Below are 17,808 nucleotides of genomic sequence, written 5' to 3' on the forward strand. Positions count from 1 at the left end.
CATCTTCCTTACTCCTGCTGAGCCAGCTGGGACAAGGAAGAATCCCTTGCCCTTCACGCCTCAGCTCCCTGACATCTGTCAGAGATCCCCAGACCCTCCTTGTCAGGGAGCACATCCTGGGGTTCCTCACCTCTGGGCCAGGGTTGTTTACTTAATAGCCCTTACCAACTTTGCCAGCTCATCTGCGAGCAGTGTGGATCCTTCATGCATTCTGAATGGTCATGCCTCCAAAGCCACATTTTTGCAAAGAGAATTCAGTGTGTGTGTGTGTGTGTGTGTGTGTGTGTGTGTTGAACTGGCACTCAAAGATTGACATTCTGCTGATGCCACTGCAGTCAACATCGGGTGGGCATTGCCCGGGAAGTCTCCATGACCACTTCCTACAGACCTACCTGGTCCCTCCACTTGAACACACCATGAGGGGCCCTTCTGAAGCAGGCACCCTGGGCCCTGGAACACTCTTAAACTTCAATGACCCTCTGGTCCAAGGGGGCTCTGAGACCCCAGGATCTAAAATGCCCTGCTAGCTGGGTGCAGTGGCTCACGCCTATAATCCCAACACTTTGGTAGGCTGAGGGGGACAGATTGCTTGAGTCCAGGAGTTCGAGACCAACCTGGGCAACATGGTGAAACCTCACCTCTCAAAAAAAAAAAAAAAATATCAAGCATGGTGGCACACGCCTGTAGTCCCAGCTACTCAGAAGGCTGAGGTAGGAGGATCGCTTCAGCCTGGGAGGCAGAGGTTACAGTAAGCTGAGATTGCACCACTGTGCTCCAATCGGGGAGACAGAGCAAGAATCTGTCTCAAAAATAAATATATAAAAATAAATAAATAAATAAATAAATAAATAAAATGCCCTGTAGGCCCCCATGAGCTCGAGACACATGGGGCTAAGAGGAACCAGTCAGGAATCCCAAGTACTCACATACTTCCTGAGCTCTCGGATGGGGCTCCACTGTGCTGATGACACTGCCATTCCAGTTGTCCCAGGTAAGCAGGAAAGATTTCAGGCATGTTCTTTCCTCCTCCTTGCTTCCAGGAACCTTTAAGCTTCAAGCACTCCTCCCTCCACTCCCCAAGAGCTTCCGCCTCCTCTACCACTAGGATGGCAGGTTTTACAGCCTGACCTACAATTAGATTCTGCTGGGAATCCTAGGAGAATTGATCCAGCCAATTAAGTCAGGAAATTGCTCTCTAAATTTAACATGTCCGTCAATCTCATCCAAAATGGCAGCATTGATTTGGTGGGCTGAGGCTTTGAGGTTATCTTTATTTAATCCAGCAAAAACTATATTAGGCTTCTCCCACCTCACAGATTTGCCTGTTTCTCAAATTTGATTTTATTAAACTCAGCAGTATAAATATCTCATAAAATAATTCTCATCAACACTCTCCCGCTGGACTCACACCCTGGAGCTGTTGCCTGAAGAGATGCTAAAGGAGCAGGCAGAACTCTCGCCTGTTTTGTCGCCTTTGGTGTACCTTATGTCCCCACTTGTGAATCTGCTTATCCCCAACATCTTTTCCAAAAAGGGTGTAGGACAATGTATGTGTACACTGTATGTGTATTTCCATTCTACAAATGGAAAGATATCATCTATTAAAGATAAGGCTACTTGGGGCATTTCCCCCGCCTTGAGAGACCATCTGCCACCCTGGTGCATTGCTCAGATTGCCTAGACTATGCAAGAGGAGCCCACGCACAGATGCACAGAGACATTTGGAGACTGGATATCATCTTTAATTAATAATGCCACAGCCCAATGTCTTTTTTGTTGCTGTAGCAAATTGTGATTGTGTGTGCGTGTGTGAGTGTGTGTGTGTGTGTGTTCCTGAACAGATGAAGGGCCAGCAGAGACTCCCAAGCAGGTCTCAGCCAACAACTCTGTTGAGCAGCAACTGGAAGATAGTCTCCATAGAGGCACAGAGGCCAGACTTCTGCCTCCTATGGCATTGATCCTCTCTCCTGGGCCACCTTTCGTGCATTGAGGGCAAGGCTGAGGCCTGTACCAGCCCAGATTAAAGGACTTCTAAGCACAGGTCAGCCTCCAGTTCCCAGTACTCACTGCCTCTGACCAGAGGGATGCCCTGGGTAGAGTATAGACTTCCAGGCAGAGGTGGATAACCTGCGCTGGCCTTGGTCCCATGTCATACTGGGGCAGCACCACAATGGCCCAGCCCTGGCAGAAAATCCAGAGCTACTGGAGCCACTTGATTGATTACTTTCAGAGATAATCAGGATGTAGCAAAGGCCTTTTTTGGGGCCAGCTGGAGAAGGCCAGACTCAGCTTGTGGGGGCCACAGGAAGTTGTCTCCAACCCAAACTTAAAAGCCTGCCCTCTTGCCATCTCCATTCTCCAATTCCTCAAATGCCCAGTAGGTCCACAGCCCAGGCATGGCAGCATAGTGTCAGCGTGACAGTGGGTTGGAAGATAACCATGAGAGACCTGGGCTGAACTGGACCTGCGGCCATATGTCAGCCTGAAACCAGCCCTTTCCCCCATGGTCAATGCCAGCCAGAGCTCTCTGAAGCCGGATGGGACCCCCCACAGGCAAGGCAGCAAGTTCTTGGCCTAGTGCAGAGGGAGAAAACCAAACTGGCTCCACTGTCCCATCTCCATCTGCTCTGTGCCTTATGAAGGCAAGAAGCCCAAGTCCCCAGGACGGCGGTATCAGCTGTTGGGGAAGCACCGTTGTCCAGGTGAGGCCTCGGGCCGGAAGCTGTGTTTGTTCAGGGGGCTTGGGTAGTAAGTAGTCGTGTACACATTGGTCTGCTGCAATGGGTAGAAGTTGGCTCTGTCATCAGGGATCAAGTTATTCTTGTTCAGGGTCTGTGGGTGGAAGAAGGAACCAGAGAAAGGGGTGAGGGAACACACAGGGGAAGGGAACAGGCCAGAGCAAGGAGTCCAGAAGCCAGCCGTGCAAGAACACTCAGACTGCGGATCCAGTGCTCTGTTCACACCACCACTGCCCAGTTCCACCCAGCTGAGGGCCAGAACCCCTGCACTCTTCACCCTGCCCTCCTACCCTGCCCTCTGCTTCTACAAGAAGGCTCCCGGCCGGGCGCGGTGGCTCACGCCTGTAATCCCAGCACTTTGGGAGGCCGAGGCGGGCGGATCACGAGGTCAGGAGATCGAGACCATCCCGGCTAAAAACGGTGAAACCCCGTCTCTACTAAAAATACAAAAAATTAGCCGGGCGTAGTGGCGGGCGCCTGTAGTCCCAGCTACTTGGGAGGCTGAGGCAGGAGAATGGCGTGAACCCGGGAGGCAGAGCTTGCAATGAGCCGAGATCCCACCACTGCACTCCAGCCTGGGCGACAGAGTGAGACTCCGTCTCAAAAAAAAAAAAAAAAAAGAAGGCTCCCACCTTGAATTCCATGGGTGTGTACTTTTCATTCTTCGGGGTGCCTCCGCCCTTGTAGTGCAAATGGTTGGGGGTGGCAGGATGGACCAGTGTGGACTCCTGGGACTGACGCTGGCAGTGCTGGCAAGACAGGTACACTGCTAGGGTCAGGAGCCCAGAGCCCAAGAAGCAGGAGATGCCCGTGGCCACCAAGTGGATGAGATTGAACCCTAGGGGAAGAGAGGCAGGTAGTAAGATGAGGGCCACTGTGAAGAGGACAGACTCCTGCCTGCCTCCCTGGGAGCAGAAACAGCAACAGGAGGCTCTGAGGCATCCTGGAAAGGGCTCTGAGGCCACAGCCAAAGGAAACAGGGAGGCTGGGGAGGCTGTCACTGGGGACCTCTTTCACAAGGTACCCTGTGGCTCAAGTCAGAGGTGGCAACCAGAGGGTCTAGAGTCAGATGACTCTTCCTTGGGTACAGACTGATGATGGCCTCCTAGCTGGGGGGGGCATGGAGGGAACTGCCCAGACCACCCTACACACCATCTCAAAGCAGTGGGGACCCCAACAAAGCTTGGCTGTCTGGAGCAGGATGTGGAAAGAGTCCAGACTTTGGAGTGGGGTGCCGGAGGGCTGGGAGGACCGCAGCATGAGGTAGGTCCGGTTTCTTTTACCTGCACAGTCGGTGGCCTCCTCCATGCTGGAGGCTGGCAGGATGACTGCAGGAAGACCAGTGGACAGGGTGTCAGGGGCGGAGACGAGAGGAGGGGGGCCCTGCAGGGTAGGCGTAAGCCTGGGAGGACCTCTAGGTCAACGCTCAGACGTAGGACTAGGTAGGCGTGGGGGCCTTCATTCCCCTCCCTCTCTCCTCAGACCCCACCTCTGAGAAGGGCTAGCCCATCCACAGGATGAGGAGGGCCCAAACCCCAAATGTGTGCATGGAGGCAAATATGGGAGTTTTCTTTCGGCATCTCCTTCCCCCCACTTCCATGTTTCATCCTGTGCCCCCTGCTCCCCACCAGGACACAAGCTTCAGAAGGAGAAGGAAGTTGGGAGTGCAGGCTGGGAAGGGTTGCTGCGCAGGTGCTGGCAGGGGTACCTACCGGGAATCTCGCTGTAGGGGCAGGGGCGGCTCTGGCTGCTGTTTCCAGCACAGGCGCTGGACCCTGGGAGGAGCTCCTCACAGTGCCGGCTTCGGCTCTGGGCTCCGTCGTCAGTGCACTTACTCCACTCAGACCAGGGCGACCAGCCTTCTGGGGATTGTGGGTAGGATGAGGTTAACTGCCCAGGGACCCCCTGGTGGGGATCAGAGGGCTCCATGTCGCTTCCCAGCCCTGGCGGGATGTGCCTCATACCTGGGCAGGCCTGTGTGGCACATAGTGCCTCCTCCGTGTGCAGCCCGAGACAGATGTCCTCACCTGGGGAGGGTGCGGGGCTGGTGCAGGAACGGGTGCGTTGATAGTGACCCCCACCACAGGAAGCTGAGCATGGAGACCATGAGGTCCAGCAGGACCAAGCACCCCGAACTGCAAGGGGACGGGGTGTGTGAGGGGCTGTAGGGGCAGCCAGGGCCCAAGACGGTCTTCCATCCCATACCAGCCCAGACCACTCTGCCCTGAGCCACAGTGACCTCAACATCCACCCGATCCACCCGCCACCCAACAGTCCACTGTTAGGGAGTGCCCCCACTCCATGCGGCAGGTGAGGGAAACGCAGGAAGCAGCAGAGACACCCGGAGGGAGAGAGACCGACTCCACCTCCAATCAAGCTTCTTACCTGTCTAACTCACTAAGAAAGGTGAAAAAAAAAAAGGGACAGGGAGGATAAGTTGAGGCCGTACTCCACCGGAGTAGCCATTGCATCTACGGCCGGGGCAGAAATTTGCTCTGGGGGTCCCTAGCACAGAGTTGGCAGGGAGAAGGGGTCACCTGGGCATTGGGGTTCCTGGGTAGGCCTGGGGCGGGGAAGGGGGCCTCCAGGATGACAGGGTTTCGCTAGGCCAAGGATTCCTTCCGTGCAGGGTTACCTGGGCAAGCCTGGGGGTTGCAGTCCTGGTACTCGGCAGCATCGCCCACGCAGGGCAGGCCCCCGTTGCGGGGCTCCGGGTTAGTGCACGTTCTCTTGCGGACGCGGAAGCCCAGCTCGCAGTCCCGGGAGCAGGACGACCACGGGCCCCAGGCGGCCCAGCCCCCGCTCACCGTGTGCGGGGAGGTGCTCCCGCTGCGCAGGAGGACCTCCACCAGGGCTGCGGAGGGGCTAGGCCTCAGCGACTGGGCGCCCGGCCACCCCGACCCCGGCCTGGGCCTCCCCGGGGCTCCCGCCCCCGCCCTCACCGCTCCGGGGCTGGGAGAGAGGAAGGAGGGGGCGCCGGGCGCGGGGTACCGTCGGTGTCGCAGGAGCCGGAGCCGTCCGCGGGACAGGTCCTCGTCTCGGTCCTTCTCCTGCCGAACTGCAGGCCGTGCGGGTCTGCAAGGGGCGCGCGGCAGGTGAAGCGGAACCGCTGCTCCTGCCGTGCCCCGCCCTGCGTCACGTTCACGGGCAGCCACGGCGTCCAGGGGGTGTTGCGCCGCACTTCGGGGCAGCCCTCGGGGTTGCACGTCTTGAACTCCTGCGGGTGGCGGCAGAGGCAGCTTTAGAACCCCACGGCCTCCAGGCCCGCCCTCCCCTCGGCTCCAGTACCCTACACCGCGCCCCTGGCCCACGGCCCCAACCCTCACCACGCCGCAGCCCAGGCAGGAGTTGCCGTTCTCGCAGGCCCGACGCCGCGACTGCATGCCCCCTCCACAGTTGCTGCTGCACTTGCTCCAGGAGCCCCAGGAAGCCCAGAAGATGGGCACCGGGCAAGGCGTGTTCTCATTACAGAACCTGGGGTCGGGGGAGAGGCGTCAATCCAGGGAGGGGGACCCCCTTCCCTGACGAGAGGTCCCTGGGAGTGCAAGACCGGAAAGGACGAGAGTCCCCGGGATCACGAGGAGAATCCAGGCCACTTTCTGGGGGGCCCGGTTAGTCTGGGACCTCAGAGCAAGCCTGTTCTCCCTCACCGTTCCTCCCGGCTCTTGCCCACGCAGATGCGGCCCCCGTGGCGGGGAGCAGGGTTGCTGCAACTTCGCTGGCGGACCTGGAAGCCGATGCCACAGGACGTGCTGCACAGCGCCCACGATGACCACGGGGTCCACGCCCCATTCCTGGCGGGGTGGGAGGGGACAGAGACAGATGCCCCTCTGAGCCCTAGCTTCTTAGATCTAGTCTGTCTCTGGGCCGATGTATTTTCTACTGCTGTCAGAAAGGGCTGGACAGTGACATAGAAATATCTTCTCCTAAACAGGTCATCTCAGGCAGACTCGCTCATCCATCCGTTCATTTATTCCTCCTTCAGACATGTATTGAGAGCCTTCTTCTATATATCATGCTGTGCTCAGGACTAAGGACGTAGAGGTAGGACATGGCCCCATCTCACAAGGGCCAAAAGGGCAGACTCTTTAGAGAAGAAGGCCCTAGTCCCCTTTCCAGTCTGCAGCCTCCCTTTCAGCCTTCCTGGCTGGTCCCAATCCTTGCACTGTAACCAACACTCTGTCCCCTGTACTATATTGCACATGCTTTGCTCCAGCCTCAGACACTGCTCACTCATGCCTACTCTGACGCCAATTTTCAAATCTGGGCTCTACCATTTGCTGGCTGTGAAACCCTGGGCAAGTTACTAGAACCTTCTGTAACTTAACTTTAAAGTACTCTTAACTTTAAAGTAAGGACAATGATTGTATTCCTACCCCCATGAGGTTGCTGTGAGGGCTACATTAATAAATGTGTATGAAATAGTTTTTTTAAGAGTGTCCAAGGCTGGGTGTGGTGGCTTATGCCTGTAATCCCAGAGCTTTGGGACGCTGAGGTGGGAGGAACACTTGAAGCCAGGAGTTTGAGACCAGCCTAGGCAATATAGTGAGACTCCTGTTTCTACAAAAAATTTTTAAAAATTAGCTGGGTATGGTGTGGGCACCTGTAGTCTCAGCTAATCAGGAGGTTGAGGCAGGAGATTACAGTGAGCCATGATCACACCACTTCACTCCAGCCTGGGCAACAGAGTGAGACGCTGTCTCAAAAAAAGAAAAAGTGTCTAATGGAGTCCCCAGGTACCAGGCACTGTGCAAGCTCTGTATATACCTTATCTCATTTAACCCTCCCAACAACTCTTGGGTGGGTACTATAACCCTCACTAAGAGAAGCTTAGAGTGGTTAGGTGGCTAGGCCACGGCCACACCTCCAGACAGTGGCAATCCGGAATTGGCACTAGATTTGCTTGCCTTGCCATCATCCCATGCTGTTCCTCATGTTTGGGATGAGACTTACTGAGGCACGCTTTTGTCTAGGAGTGACCTCCATGCCTGCCCAGCATTCCACTTTGCATCAAGAGTCACCAAGAGATAGAAACTTCTCTCTCACTAGCGTGGAAACTCCCTCAGGGCTCAGGTTTCCTGCCTCAGATATTAGCCACCTATCCAGTCCCTAGCACAGCCCTGAAGTGGTTTCTGTCCCTTAGTGCAAACACCCAAGTGAGGGGTCCCCGTTTCCCTAGTTCTCCCCACCCTGGTCCAAGGCAGACACCATGTAAACCCTGTCCTCACATACCTGGAGCAGTTGGCGATGTGGATGGCTGGCCCCAGGCAGTCAAGGCCCCCACAGCGGGGTCGAGGGGAATCACAGGATCGAGCTCGACACAGGCAAGAGCCTGAGTTGTCCCCATCCAAGTGCTCACATGGTTGCCATGGTGACCATGGGCCGAAGCCCCCATCCCGTGTCACATTCCGCACCTGAAGACACACATGGGAGACAGTACCCCTATTACCCAAGCCAAGGGCAGGGAAGTCATAAGATCTCAGGGGATTGGGGGAATATTGGTGGGGAGTCATAGCCTGAATTGAAGGAGGGGTCTGAGATGGGAGGACACAAGGGGATTCTCACAGGACAGGCGGTGATGTTCTGGGTCCAGAGGCTCATGTTGGAGCTGTCCTCGAGTGTGCTGCAACGTTGCTGCTTCCCGTCCCAGCCACAGTACGGGTCCCGGGCCCCCAGGCATGCCCTGCCAGACAGACGTCCTGAGATTCAAGCCCACTGGCTTCCCAGCCTCACCTGCATCTCAGGAACACACGTGAACACTCCCCTCTGTGCACCACTTTCCATCCATTTGTCCTCCATGATAATAATGAAGTTCATTGGGCCTTTACTGTGTGTAAGGCATCATTTTAAGCACTTTATAAGCATGAATTAATTTAAATCCAGCACCCCAATGAAGTGGGTACTGTTATTATTCCCATGTTATCTGGGGGAAACCCAGTGACCTGACCCAGGACTCAAACCCTCATCCTCCAGAGACTGCACGTTTAAAAGAGACGGCACTGCTTTCCCCAAATATGGGTGCCCCATACTCCTCACCCACAGCCACAGGTGCAGATGTGGTTAACAGGAACCCAAAGAGGAAATGCCTCCCTGGCACATGCTATGATCATAGAGTCATAAAACATTAGAGATGGAAAAAGCCTTACAGATGGTTCTCAACCCTGGCTGCACATTAGAATCACCTGAGGAGCTTTCAAAACATACCAATACCCGAGCCCACCCCACTCAACACTCTCTAGGGGCGAAGTAGTGTTTAAAAGCTCCCTGGGTGATTCTAATGGGAGCGAGGCTGAGAACCTCTGGGATCCACTATACAACCTTTTCATTGTACCAAGGCAAGGAGATAAGTAGTTTCCCTGAGATCACACAGATCATAGGTGGTGGAGCTGGGCCCAGACCTAAGCTTTCTGACCACGCTTTTCCCCTCACACTTCTGCTTCCCACGGGAGGTTGTGTCTGATTTCACACACTGAATATGAGCCCATCCCTCAAAACACAGCGCAGGATCGGCAGACACCTGGGTACTGTCCATGGTCACCTGGAGCACCCACATGCTTGTGCTGCTTAGTGGCAGGAATCAGAGTCTAGTGCTTTAGCATCTTGAGAATGAGCTCAAGCTGTAGGCGGTCACATCCCAGTTCTCGGTTCCTCAACCCTGAGGGCTGGTCTCTCTACAGTGGCCCCAAAATGATAACTGGTTCACACACTGATGCATGCCCCAAATGCCTCCACTTCTCATAGTCCAGAGCTTCTTTCTTCTTTTTCTCCTTTTGATGTCTTCATGTAATTTTTTAACAGAAAAATCTAATCTCCACTAGTAGGACTTGAAAGGGGAGAAAAAGTCTGTGGGGATTATGGAATCAGGCTTTGCTATCCATTGCTAAGTACAGAGAGTATCCAATCCTGGTGCCAGAAGGAGGGTCCCTCCAACATTCAGCCCACTGCCAATCCTGGGGGATACCTCGATCCCTCTGGTTCCTGTCCCCAGCTTCCACCCCCTTCTGAGCCAGTCTGCTGAAGAGGGTCTGGAGAGAGCACTAAGCATGGGCTCAGAAATTGGAGGTTGGAAAACAGAAGAGGCTTTGGAGAAGGATGTACTGGACTGCAAAGAAGATGGAGCCTGGCGGGGAGTTCACAACATTCTGTGAGTTTGCAGGGGGATCTTCCCATTGGACAAAGGGGCCAAAGATGCCTAGGGCTAAAGAGATACACCAAGAACAAACGAAGAGCTAAGAGTTGCAGCTCTTGGCATCCCTGGGGTAGAATTTTTCTTATCTCTTGAAGCTTCAGGGAGAGTAACCTGTCAGGTGAATTCTTAACTTGCAGTGGGTTCAATAGATCATGTCAGGCCCCAGAGAAAAATGAGGTTAATTATACAAAGAAGAGGGTGGGGCTTCTCCTTGTCAGCAAAGGAGGGCAAAGAAGACAGTACTATCTGCTGCTCTTGGCCAACCCGCAGCCTCATATAAGCGAGGCAATCATGGGAGCCCGGTGAGCACACTGTGGCCCACCCAGGAATCCAGAATACTTAACTGTTGCTGGGGTATCTGTTTCCAGTTTATTCACTCAAGGACAATTTGGGTAAATTGTACAAGATAAATGTGGTCATATTTTCCTCTGGGATCAATGGTTTGATTTGAGGGTGTTTTATCAGTAGAGTCCATCAAACTGGACATCGTGGGACTACATGCAACACATGTACACAAGTAGTCCCAGCAACCTGTGGTTTTGAGACTCTGCTTACTGGCTGACATTGGGATCAAGAGGACTGCTAGCAAATTCAACCAATGAGAACTCAGCAAAGCCCACTCCTGAATTTATTTCCTTCAGCACTCAAAAAGGGGCATCAACCTCTTACAGGCAGCTTACGTGGCATTATAAGTGACACAAATTAACTGGAAAAAAGAATTAGCCATAGCTAGTGACTAATAATAATAATAAACAATATTCTATTAATCAAAAACAAATGTCTGCCAGCAGAGAAAATGGGTAAGAGCAGAAAACCTGAATCAGCTTATGTAAGACAAATGCAGAAGATTCTGGAGAAATGCAATTGGCCTCTTGCTCCTTCTTCCATCTAGAGCCTAACCAGTTTTACAGCAGGAGTTCCCAGGCTTCACTGCAAATTAGGATCTCCTGGGCATCCTTTAAAAAGCGTAAGCAAACAAAACAAAAAGCCCACCAACCTATACTTTGGCTTTTTGGACTGGAATAGGCCCAGGCACTGGAATCTTCTAAATACCCCCCAGGTAACTCTGCTGTGTACCCATGGTTGAGAACTGCTGTGCCAGGGGCCACTTTTGTCAAGATTCCCAAGCCAAGGGATGAAGTGTCTTGTCTTTCCAAACCATGGCAGAATAGCAAAGAAGAAAAACGTGGAGTAGATGCTGGCTCCAGTCTCCTTTCTCCAAGCCCTCTCACCCCTTCAGCTTCCCCTGCCCTCAATTAAGTCCCAGAGAAGAAAGAGGATACCAGATTCTTCATGGACACGCCTGCCCTGCCCCTTCCCTGGCAGCCTGAGGGGACCCCTGAGGCTTCTTGAGGCCAGTGCCCGAGCTCTCTTCTTGTGAATAAAAGGGATAACTGCCTCCTTGGCTCAAGTGGAACCACGTTTGCTGCTTTTGGCCAAAGGCCACTTCAAAGCTTACAGAGCAGGGAACACTCTTAAGAAAAATGAAAGCTCCAAGGATAAGAGACTTAAAGTGTGTCTCTGACTGTGGAAATGGGTGGCAGTTTAGAGTCCTTTTCATAAAGGAGCCATCAGACCAATAATATATCACCATGTCTTTTTTTTTTTTTTTTTTTTTTTTTACTGCAATGTCTCAAGCAGCCATTACAAAAAGGAACAGGTTCATTCCATGGGCTCGGAGGTGTGACAGAGATGGATGGTGGAAGTTGCAGGCAGGCTGATTCCAGCACTGTGGTGTAGTAGTCTCACAGTGGGAGCTGTCCAGGGTGGAAAAGGTATCTCTGAAGCTTGTGAGCAAAAAAATGGCTGAGAGTGGGCCTTCCCTGTGCTCATGGGGCAGCCAGGGGAGATCTGTGAATGAGTTGGGGGTAGGTTACCCCTCTCAAAGGCAGGGTGAAAGGCATGCTGGAAGGAGGAAAGGGGTGGTTCATGCATAAAACACCCGCTTTGCAGAGCCAGTCAGCAGTTTATTCCCCAGCTCCTCCTCGTGGGAGCACTGATCTCTCTCTGGCCAGGCCAGGTCTTGGAGGTGCCCCGTGGGGCTGAGATTCTCCTGAGTGAAAAGAGGCAGTTGGAGATAACCCCTGGATCCTGGGCAGAGGAGGGAGCCTGAAGAGGCCTCTGCTTACCCACCCTCATCTTCCTGCCAGTTTTGGAAGGCATGAGGGAAAAAGCATGAAATGCCTATCCTAGGACACAGTAAAACCTTGTGACAACACTCCCCACAGCAGTGCAAATTCTAATATATTGTGGCAGTTTGCTCCCAGACTCCTGGGGTACACAGCTTGGTGACTGTGTGTACTTAATCTAGCCATTTTTCTAATCTTCTGATAATGTGACCTTGCGTTTCATACTTTTTGGATTCACCTATAGTTTTTTAGCAGGGTTTTCACTGTACACATCAAGGGCTCCTATCCCAAAGTCAGGAAACAAAATAGGATGAAAGCACCAAACTCCAAACTGACCTCTTTGTGCCTTGCTCCAGGGCAAGAGTGCAATGGGCACACTACACAAGCTCCCCAGCCCCTCTCTGCAGAATGTGAGCGCAGGCCTCCCTAGCACACCCCACTGGAGCTGAACATCCCAGCCCCTTTCCTTCCTCCCGTCCACTGCAGGCCCCGTTCCTTCAGATCTGGCTTAGAGCCATACTAGGCCACCTGGACCATCCACCTGATACATGACAGTGCTGTTCACCACTGTCTGATTGATCTTTTCACACAGCCCGTGACTGCACTCCACTGCTCTAGGACCACTCCAGTGCCCACAGCCACAGGATTCAAGTCGAAGTCCTCCTTTGGCCTTCTCAGTTGGCCTCAATCCAGTTTCCAGTCCCATTCCCCATGTTTCTCCTGCGCCAAACTCCTCTCACGCCAAAGAGTCAGTCAACTGAAGGATCAGTCATGTGTGGAAGGCCACTTGGTGCCTTGGGCTGGGTGGGACTCCCTGGTGGAGTATAAAAAATACTGAGACACTGGGTTTGCCTTTAAGGATTTACAACCTCTTGGAGAACAAGCCATATGTGAAAGCCTGTGATTCATTGCCAAGCTGTACTGACTATATTCAATGAGACTCCAGAGGGCCTAGGAGGCTGGAGGGCTCCTAAATGCATTTGGGGAGATAAGAAGTAATAAAGATACCAGCTACCTCTTGTGATTTGCTAGACTGGGCACTTTATGAATACTAGTCCCAATCCTTACAACTCTGCCTGTTAAACATCATTTGCTCCATCAAATGTCTCCCCGTTTTCCAGATGAGAGAGCCGAAGCTCAAAAAGATTTAGTTGTTCAAGATCATACGGTTAGTAGATGATGGAGTTGAGATGGAGCCCCAGGTGTGTCTGGTTCCACCATGTGAGTCCTTCCCCCCACACCCGACCATCTCTCCCCACATGTCTGATATAGGCCAAGGTTCTCTTCCCACCCAGATATCTGGAGATCTGAGGGAAATCAGTGTTCGGGGCCTATTTCTCTTGCCTTCTCTCACACCAACAGTCTTACAAAGTGTCCTGAACATGGTATGTCTTAGTAAGTGTGTGGTGTCTCGCTGATGGAGACTTGTGTTGGGGCTGAAGGGAGCTGGAGTGTCTGCCCTGAGACTCCCCCTCCTTGGCTGCCTCACCAAGACCATCCAGCTCCTCTTGGCCCCACAGGCCTCTGCCCAGCTCCGAGCACACCCCACTGGAGCTGAAGAACAGCCCTGTATCATGGATACCATTTGTCTTCCCAATCTTGAGGACAGATGGCACAGCCAGGACTCTCGGTTGCAAAGGCCACAGAAGCTCGCATGGCTGTGGTGGTGCCAGCTTCTGAGTATCATGAAAATGAGGCCATGCAGCCTGGGAGAGCCTCGGGTGGTAGGAGTCTGGGCTACATTTCCATTTGGCTTTGGAATAGGCTTTGGTTTCCCCCTTAAACACTGATGCCACAGTTGTCAAATCTGTGAGTCCGCTTGAAGCTACGGCATGAAGAACCAAGTTCAGAAGCAGTGGGAAGCCAGGGCAACTCCTCCACGTGGCGCCTCACCTCTGCCCTACCTGCAGCAGCCCTCTCTACCTCTTCTAAGGAAGGAAGCAAGAGGAGCAAAAACGTGGGGCTGACTCAAAGCATCATCTCCATCTGTCCCCACATCTGGGCAATAAGTGCTGTGGCTTCAAAGATAAAGAACTCTCTGTACAGAAAGGACTGAGAATAAATCAAGTGGGCTAGAGATGGTTGACTGGCCCTAGCTATGTGTTTGACAACAGGGATAACAACAGCCACCCACCAAAATTTGCTAAGCACACACTTCCTCCAGGTACTGATAAGTGCTTTATGGAGATTATCTCAATTAACCCTCACAAAAACCCTGCAAGATGTTTTACGAGGAGAGAACCAAGGTTCAGCGAGGTGGAGTGACTTGTCCTAAGGCACACTAGTGGAGACTGCAGGGACCGACCCCAGGTCTCCCGGGTCCAAAGCCCCGCCTCTTAAGCGCCTCCTCCGCAGTGGAGGCCTCGGGAGCCGCCCCGTCCCGGCTTACCCCTGGCTGCGGTAGGCGGCGCACCTCTCCAGTGGGACCCGCAGGACGCCGTCTCTCAGCCCCACGAAGAGCGCGCGGGCGCTGTGCAGGATGCGCAGGCTGCGCAGGGGCTCGCGGCGCCCGGGGGGCAGCACGTGCAGCTCCTCCAGGTAGCAGCCGTGGAGGCTGCGGCTCGCCGTGGACAGCGCCTTCAGGATGGTGCCCGACTCTGGAGGAGAGGGGGAGCCAGACCAAGGTGGCCTTGAAGGCCCCGGAAGCTTGCAGCCCCGCGCCGTCCCTCAACCCACCCCCGACCTGCAGTCCAGGTTGGACCGGGCCGGCTCACCGGTGCCAATGTAGAGTACATGGTAGAGCGTGTCTTTAGCCTGCACCAGGTCCACCACGAGGTGTGAGAAGCGCACGCTGTCCTGGGTGACACAGGGCTCGGGTGTCACCGGCTGCACGGCCTCGCTCATCAGGAAGAGGCGCTGCGCGTCCTGCAGGCTGCGCTCCGTCAGGTTCTCGTTGGGACCGGTCTCAGGCAGGGTGCCACACTGCCGCGGGGAGCCAGGTCACGCGCGCCCCGGCCACCAGGGCTGCCGCCATCCCCCGCCGGCTCCCTCCTCCTGGCAACCCAGGTGGCCACAGCAGCGGACGCTGATTCTCCAGCACCCCCCACCCCTAGCATCCCTGCTGGGCGTCCTGCACCCTTTCCAGGGTGGGATGCCTCTTCTTTGGGAACTAAGAACAGGAGACTGGGGAGATGGGGAAGGAGGATCCTGCCAGGGTTGGGGAAGAGGAGGGAGGAGAGCAAAGGGGACTGGACTATCTAAAAACGGATACTTTGAGTGTGGACGAGTGTCCGGTGATTTTTATGCTGTTGCTGCAGGCTCCCCTCTCCTACCTTGGGCCAAGCCTGCTGTCCCTCTCCTGTGTCCTTGCCAGCTCAAAGTTCTTATGATTTCTAAACCAAAGCTGGAAGCCTTCTGAGCATCTCCTACATTCCAGGCATATGAACCTTCTCACATATCTGTGAGGTATTATCTCTTACAGTATTATCCCTAGTTCCAGATAAGGAAAAGGAGACTGAAGGAGGTTGGATGACTTTTTTGTCCAAGGTCACACAGAGATAGGCTAGATGGTAGGACTGCAAAGCTTGAGGTCTTTCCCAGCTCCATCCCACCCCCTGGGTGGGAAGCTGGGCGAACACGAAAGTCAACCATCAGCAGCCTCCTCTGCCCCCTGGTTCTTTCCCTTTCTCCATGGGGATGGGGGATACTCACACTACCCACGGCTGGGCCCTGACCACACCCTGACCACTCCTAGCACTGACCACTTCCAGGAATTAGTACCCATGTTGAACACACTGCGAGAAAGCTCTGCTTAACATTCCCAAATTCCAGCCAGACAGCTTGTGTAGTGCTTTCCTGGTCCTCTACACTGTGGAGAGCTGAGGTCCCACTTCCCTGCCTCCCTGGAGGTGTGGGCTCACATTTAGAGATGGCTCGGAGCATGCTTCCTCGCACTGCCCCTCACCCACTCTCCCTCACAGTTGTAGAGGCTAATACCCTCAGGGAACCATTGTGGACCCCAGAGATGGGCATGGACTGGCAGGGACGGGTCTGGTGTCTGTCTGTGCTAAGCAGTTGGGAATCAGCTTGTGGCTGGTAATCTGGGGGTAAGGCAGTGTGTGAAGACAGGGAAAGAGGAGGAGATTCTGTACCTGGAAATTGGGGATGGGGTTGGCTATGGGGAGCCAGGCAGCCCTGGGGTTCTCCTGGTAGCGAAATGGGCCATTGAAAGCCTGGGAGATAGCACTGAGGTTGAAGGCGCAGACAGCAGAAGCCGCGATGCTGTTTCTGAAAGGCAAGAAGTGGTGGCACAGGGCCCTCCCTGTAAGACCTGGCACCCTCCTCATAAACCCCACAGCCAGCTGTCATGTCCAATTCCCAAGGCTCTGTAAGCATCTATGATGTGTCTGGCACATGGGGGGATCTCAAAGGGAGGAGATGTGGTCCTCACATTCTGTAAACCCCCTGGGAACGACCCACTGACAAGAGGCACTGGTGAATCCTTCTGTGCTACTGCCTCCCTCCCTCCCTCCCTTATTCGGGGGCGCTGAAATACAGTGGCTTTCAAACATTGTAGTCCATGGACCGTGGTAAGAGATATATTTTACCCTACAACTCAGTATAATATGCACACATCCATAAAGAAGTTTTATGAACTTACCCTTACTAAATATGTTAACACTCTGATATTTTATTCCATTCTATTCTGATTTATTTATTTACAAAAGCTGATTACCAAACCACTGAGTTATGCCATAGCCTGCCACACCCTGAGTTCAGATGACCCAGGAGACCCTTTCAGTCACAGAAGCATGTTTCCATGAATCTTACATGAACAGCTCACAGAGAGGAAACCACCATACCAAACGCCTCCAGTTATATTCTTCGCATTTAGTTCTTCTCCCAAATGTGTCCATTTCTCTCCACCTCTGCCTGGTTTCAGCCCCCCTCTAGTCCCCTGAATGCTGCATTGTCCTCCTGGTGGTCTGCCTGCAGCCTGTCTAGTATCCTAATCCATTCTCCACATGGCAGCCAGAGTGGTGAGCGTTTCAAAATGCACCTCCGAGCTGGTCGCTGGACTGCTTCAAACCTGTCAATAATTTCTCCTTGCTCTTACAATAAAGATTAAAGCAGTCTGCAATGTCCTTTGGGACATACCCTCCCTGCCCTACCCCTTCACCCTCCTTCCTGTCTTTCTTCTCCTCACCCTTAAATGTCTTGCCACACTGATCTCTGCTCAGCTCCTGAAACATTTCTTCCCACCTCAAACCTCTGCACATATTCCCTCAGGCTGGAATGCTCCTCTCCCTTAGTTTATTCCTATTCATCTTATAGATGTCACTTCCTACAGGAAGCTTTCCCTGATCACCACTCCTCTATACTGTTAGAGGCTTTTCTGCACACTGCCCTTTCCCTTTGTAGCATTTCTCATGATTAAAATTTGTTGTTTAATATCCATCACCCTGTTTAAGCTTTTAAAGGCTGAACCATGTCTGCTTTTGTGACGCCGCACCCCTACCAGGACAGGCACCTGCATGGAGAAGGCATGCAATCAATACACTATTTAGAATCCACACTGATGGCGTCAGTTTCGATGCCTCTCCACCTACTCCTGACTCTCGTTTCGGTCCACCCCCTCACACTGTCTTTCCTATAGCTAGCCTGGCCCTCATCCAGTGCCTGCTATCTGGGGCCCAAAGTGAGCAAACACCACTCCATGCCTTATAGGCTTCTGGTGTTCCTACAAAGCACACTGTGCAGCCAGTGCCTTCCTTGGTCTCGGTGCCCACCCATCACTGTCTATATCAGGGTG

General features: G+C 53.5%; 1 protein-coding gene across 17 annotated transcripts in view, besides 1 other annotated feature; it reads right to left on the minus strand.

The window, feature by feature from the left end:
• Positions 1–1,612: 1,612 nt before the first annotated feature.
• Positions 1,613–17,808, minus strand: part of SEMA5B (semaphorin 5B) — a 119,524-nt gene continuing 103,328 nt past the window's right edge. For 4 of the 17 annotated variants that reach the window (XM_047448352.1, NM_001410801.1, NM_001031702.4 and 1 more), the window contains 14 exons: positions 16,148–16,283; positions 14,771–14,978; positions 14,446–14,653; positions 8,304–8,421; positions 7,971–8,152; positions 6,389–6,532; positions 6,065–6,212; positions 5,730–5,955; positions 5,374–5,592; positions 4,703–4,873; positions 4,451–4,600; positions 4,022–4,066; positions 3,371–3,576; positions 1,613–2,832 (listed from right to left, as the gene is read on the minus strand). In XM_047448352.1, coding sequence (XP_047304308.1) covers positions 2,674–2,832; positions 3,371–3,576; positions 4,022–4,066; positions 4,451–4,600; positions 4,703–4,873; positions 5,374–5,592; positions 5,730–5,955; positions 6,065–6,212; positions 6,389–6,532; positions 7,971–8,152; positions 8,304–8,421; positions 14,446–14,653; positions 14,771–14,978; positions 16,148–16,283 — 2,320 coding nt within the window. In that variant the 3' untranslated portion in view covers positions 1,613–2,673. Of the gene's footprint in view, positions 2,833–3,370; positions 4,067–4,450; positions 4,601–4,702; positions 4,874–5,373; positions 5,593–5,729; positions 5,956–6,064; positions 6,213–6,388; positions 6,533–7,970; positions 8,153–8,303; positions 8,422–14,445; positions 14,654–14,770; positions 14,979–16,147; positions 16,284–17,808 lie in introns of those variants that run through there. The other 13 variants (NM_001437548.1, NM_001437573.1, NM_001437623.1 and 10 more) reach the window with 10 other exon arrangements.
• Positions 5,871–6,371: an enhancer, noted in NCBI's record as "H3K4me1 hESC enhancer chr3:122632187-122632687 (GRCh37/hg19 assembly coordinates)". NCBI's record gives its function as "activates a minimal SCP1, AML or CMV promoter by ChIP-STARR-seq in naive H9 embryonic stem cells {active_cell/tissue: H9 hESC(naive)}" and the evidence as "EXISTENCE:reporter gene assay evidence [ECO:0000049][PMID:30033119]".

This window comes from Homo sapiens, chromosome 3 (genome assembly GCF_000001405.40).
Source record: "Homo sapiens chromosome 3, GRCh38.p14 Primary Assembly".
Lineage (NCBI taxonomy): Eukaryota > Metazoa > Chordata > Mammalia > Primates > Hominidae > Homo > Homo sapiens.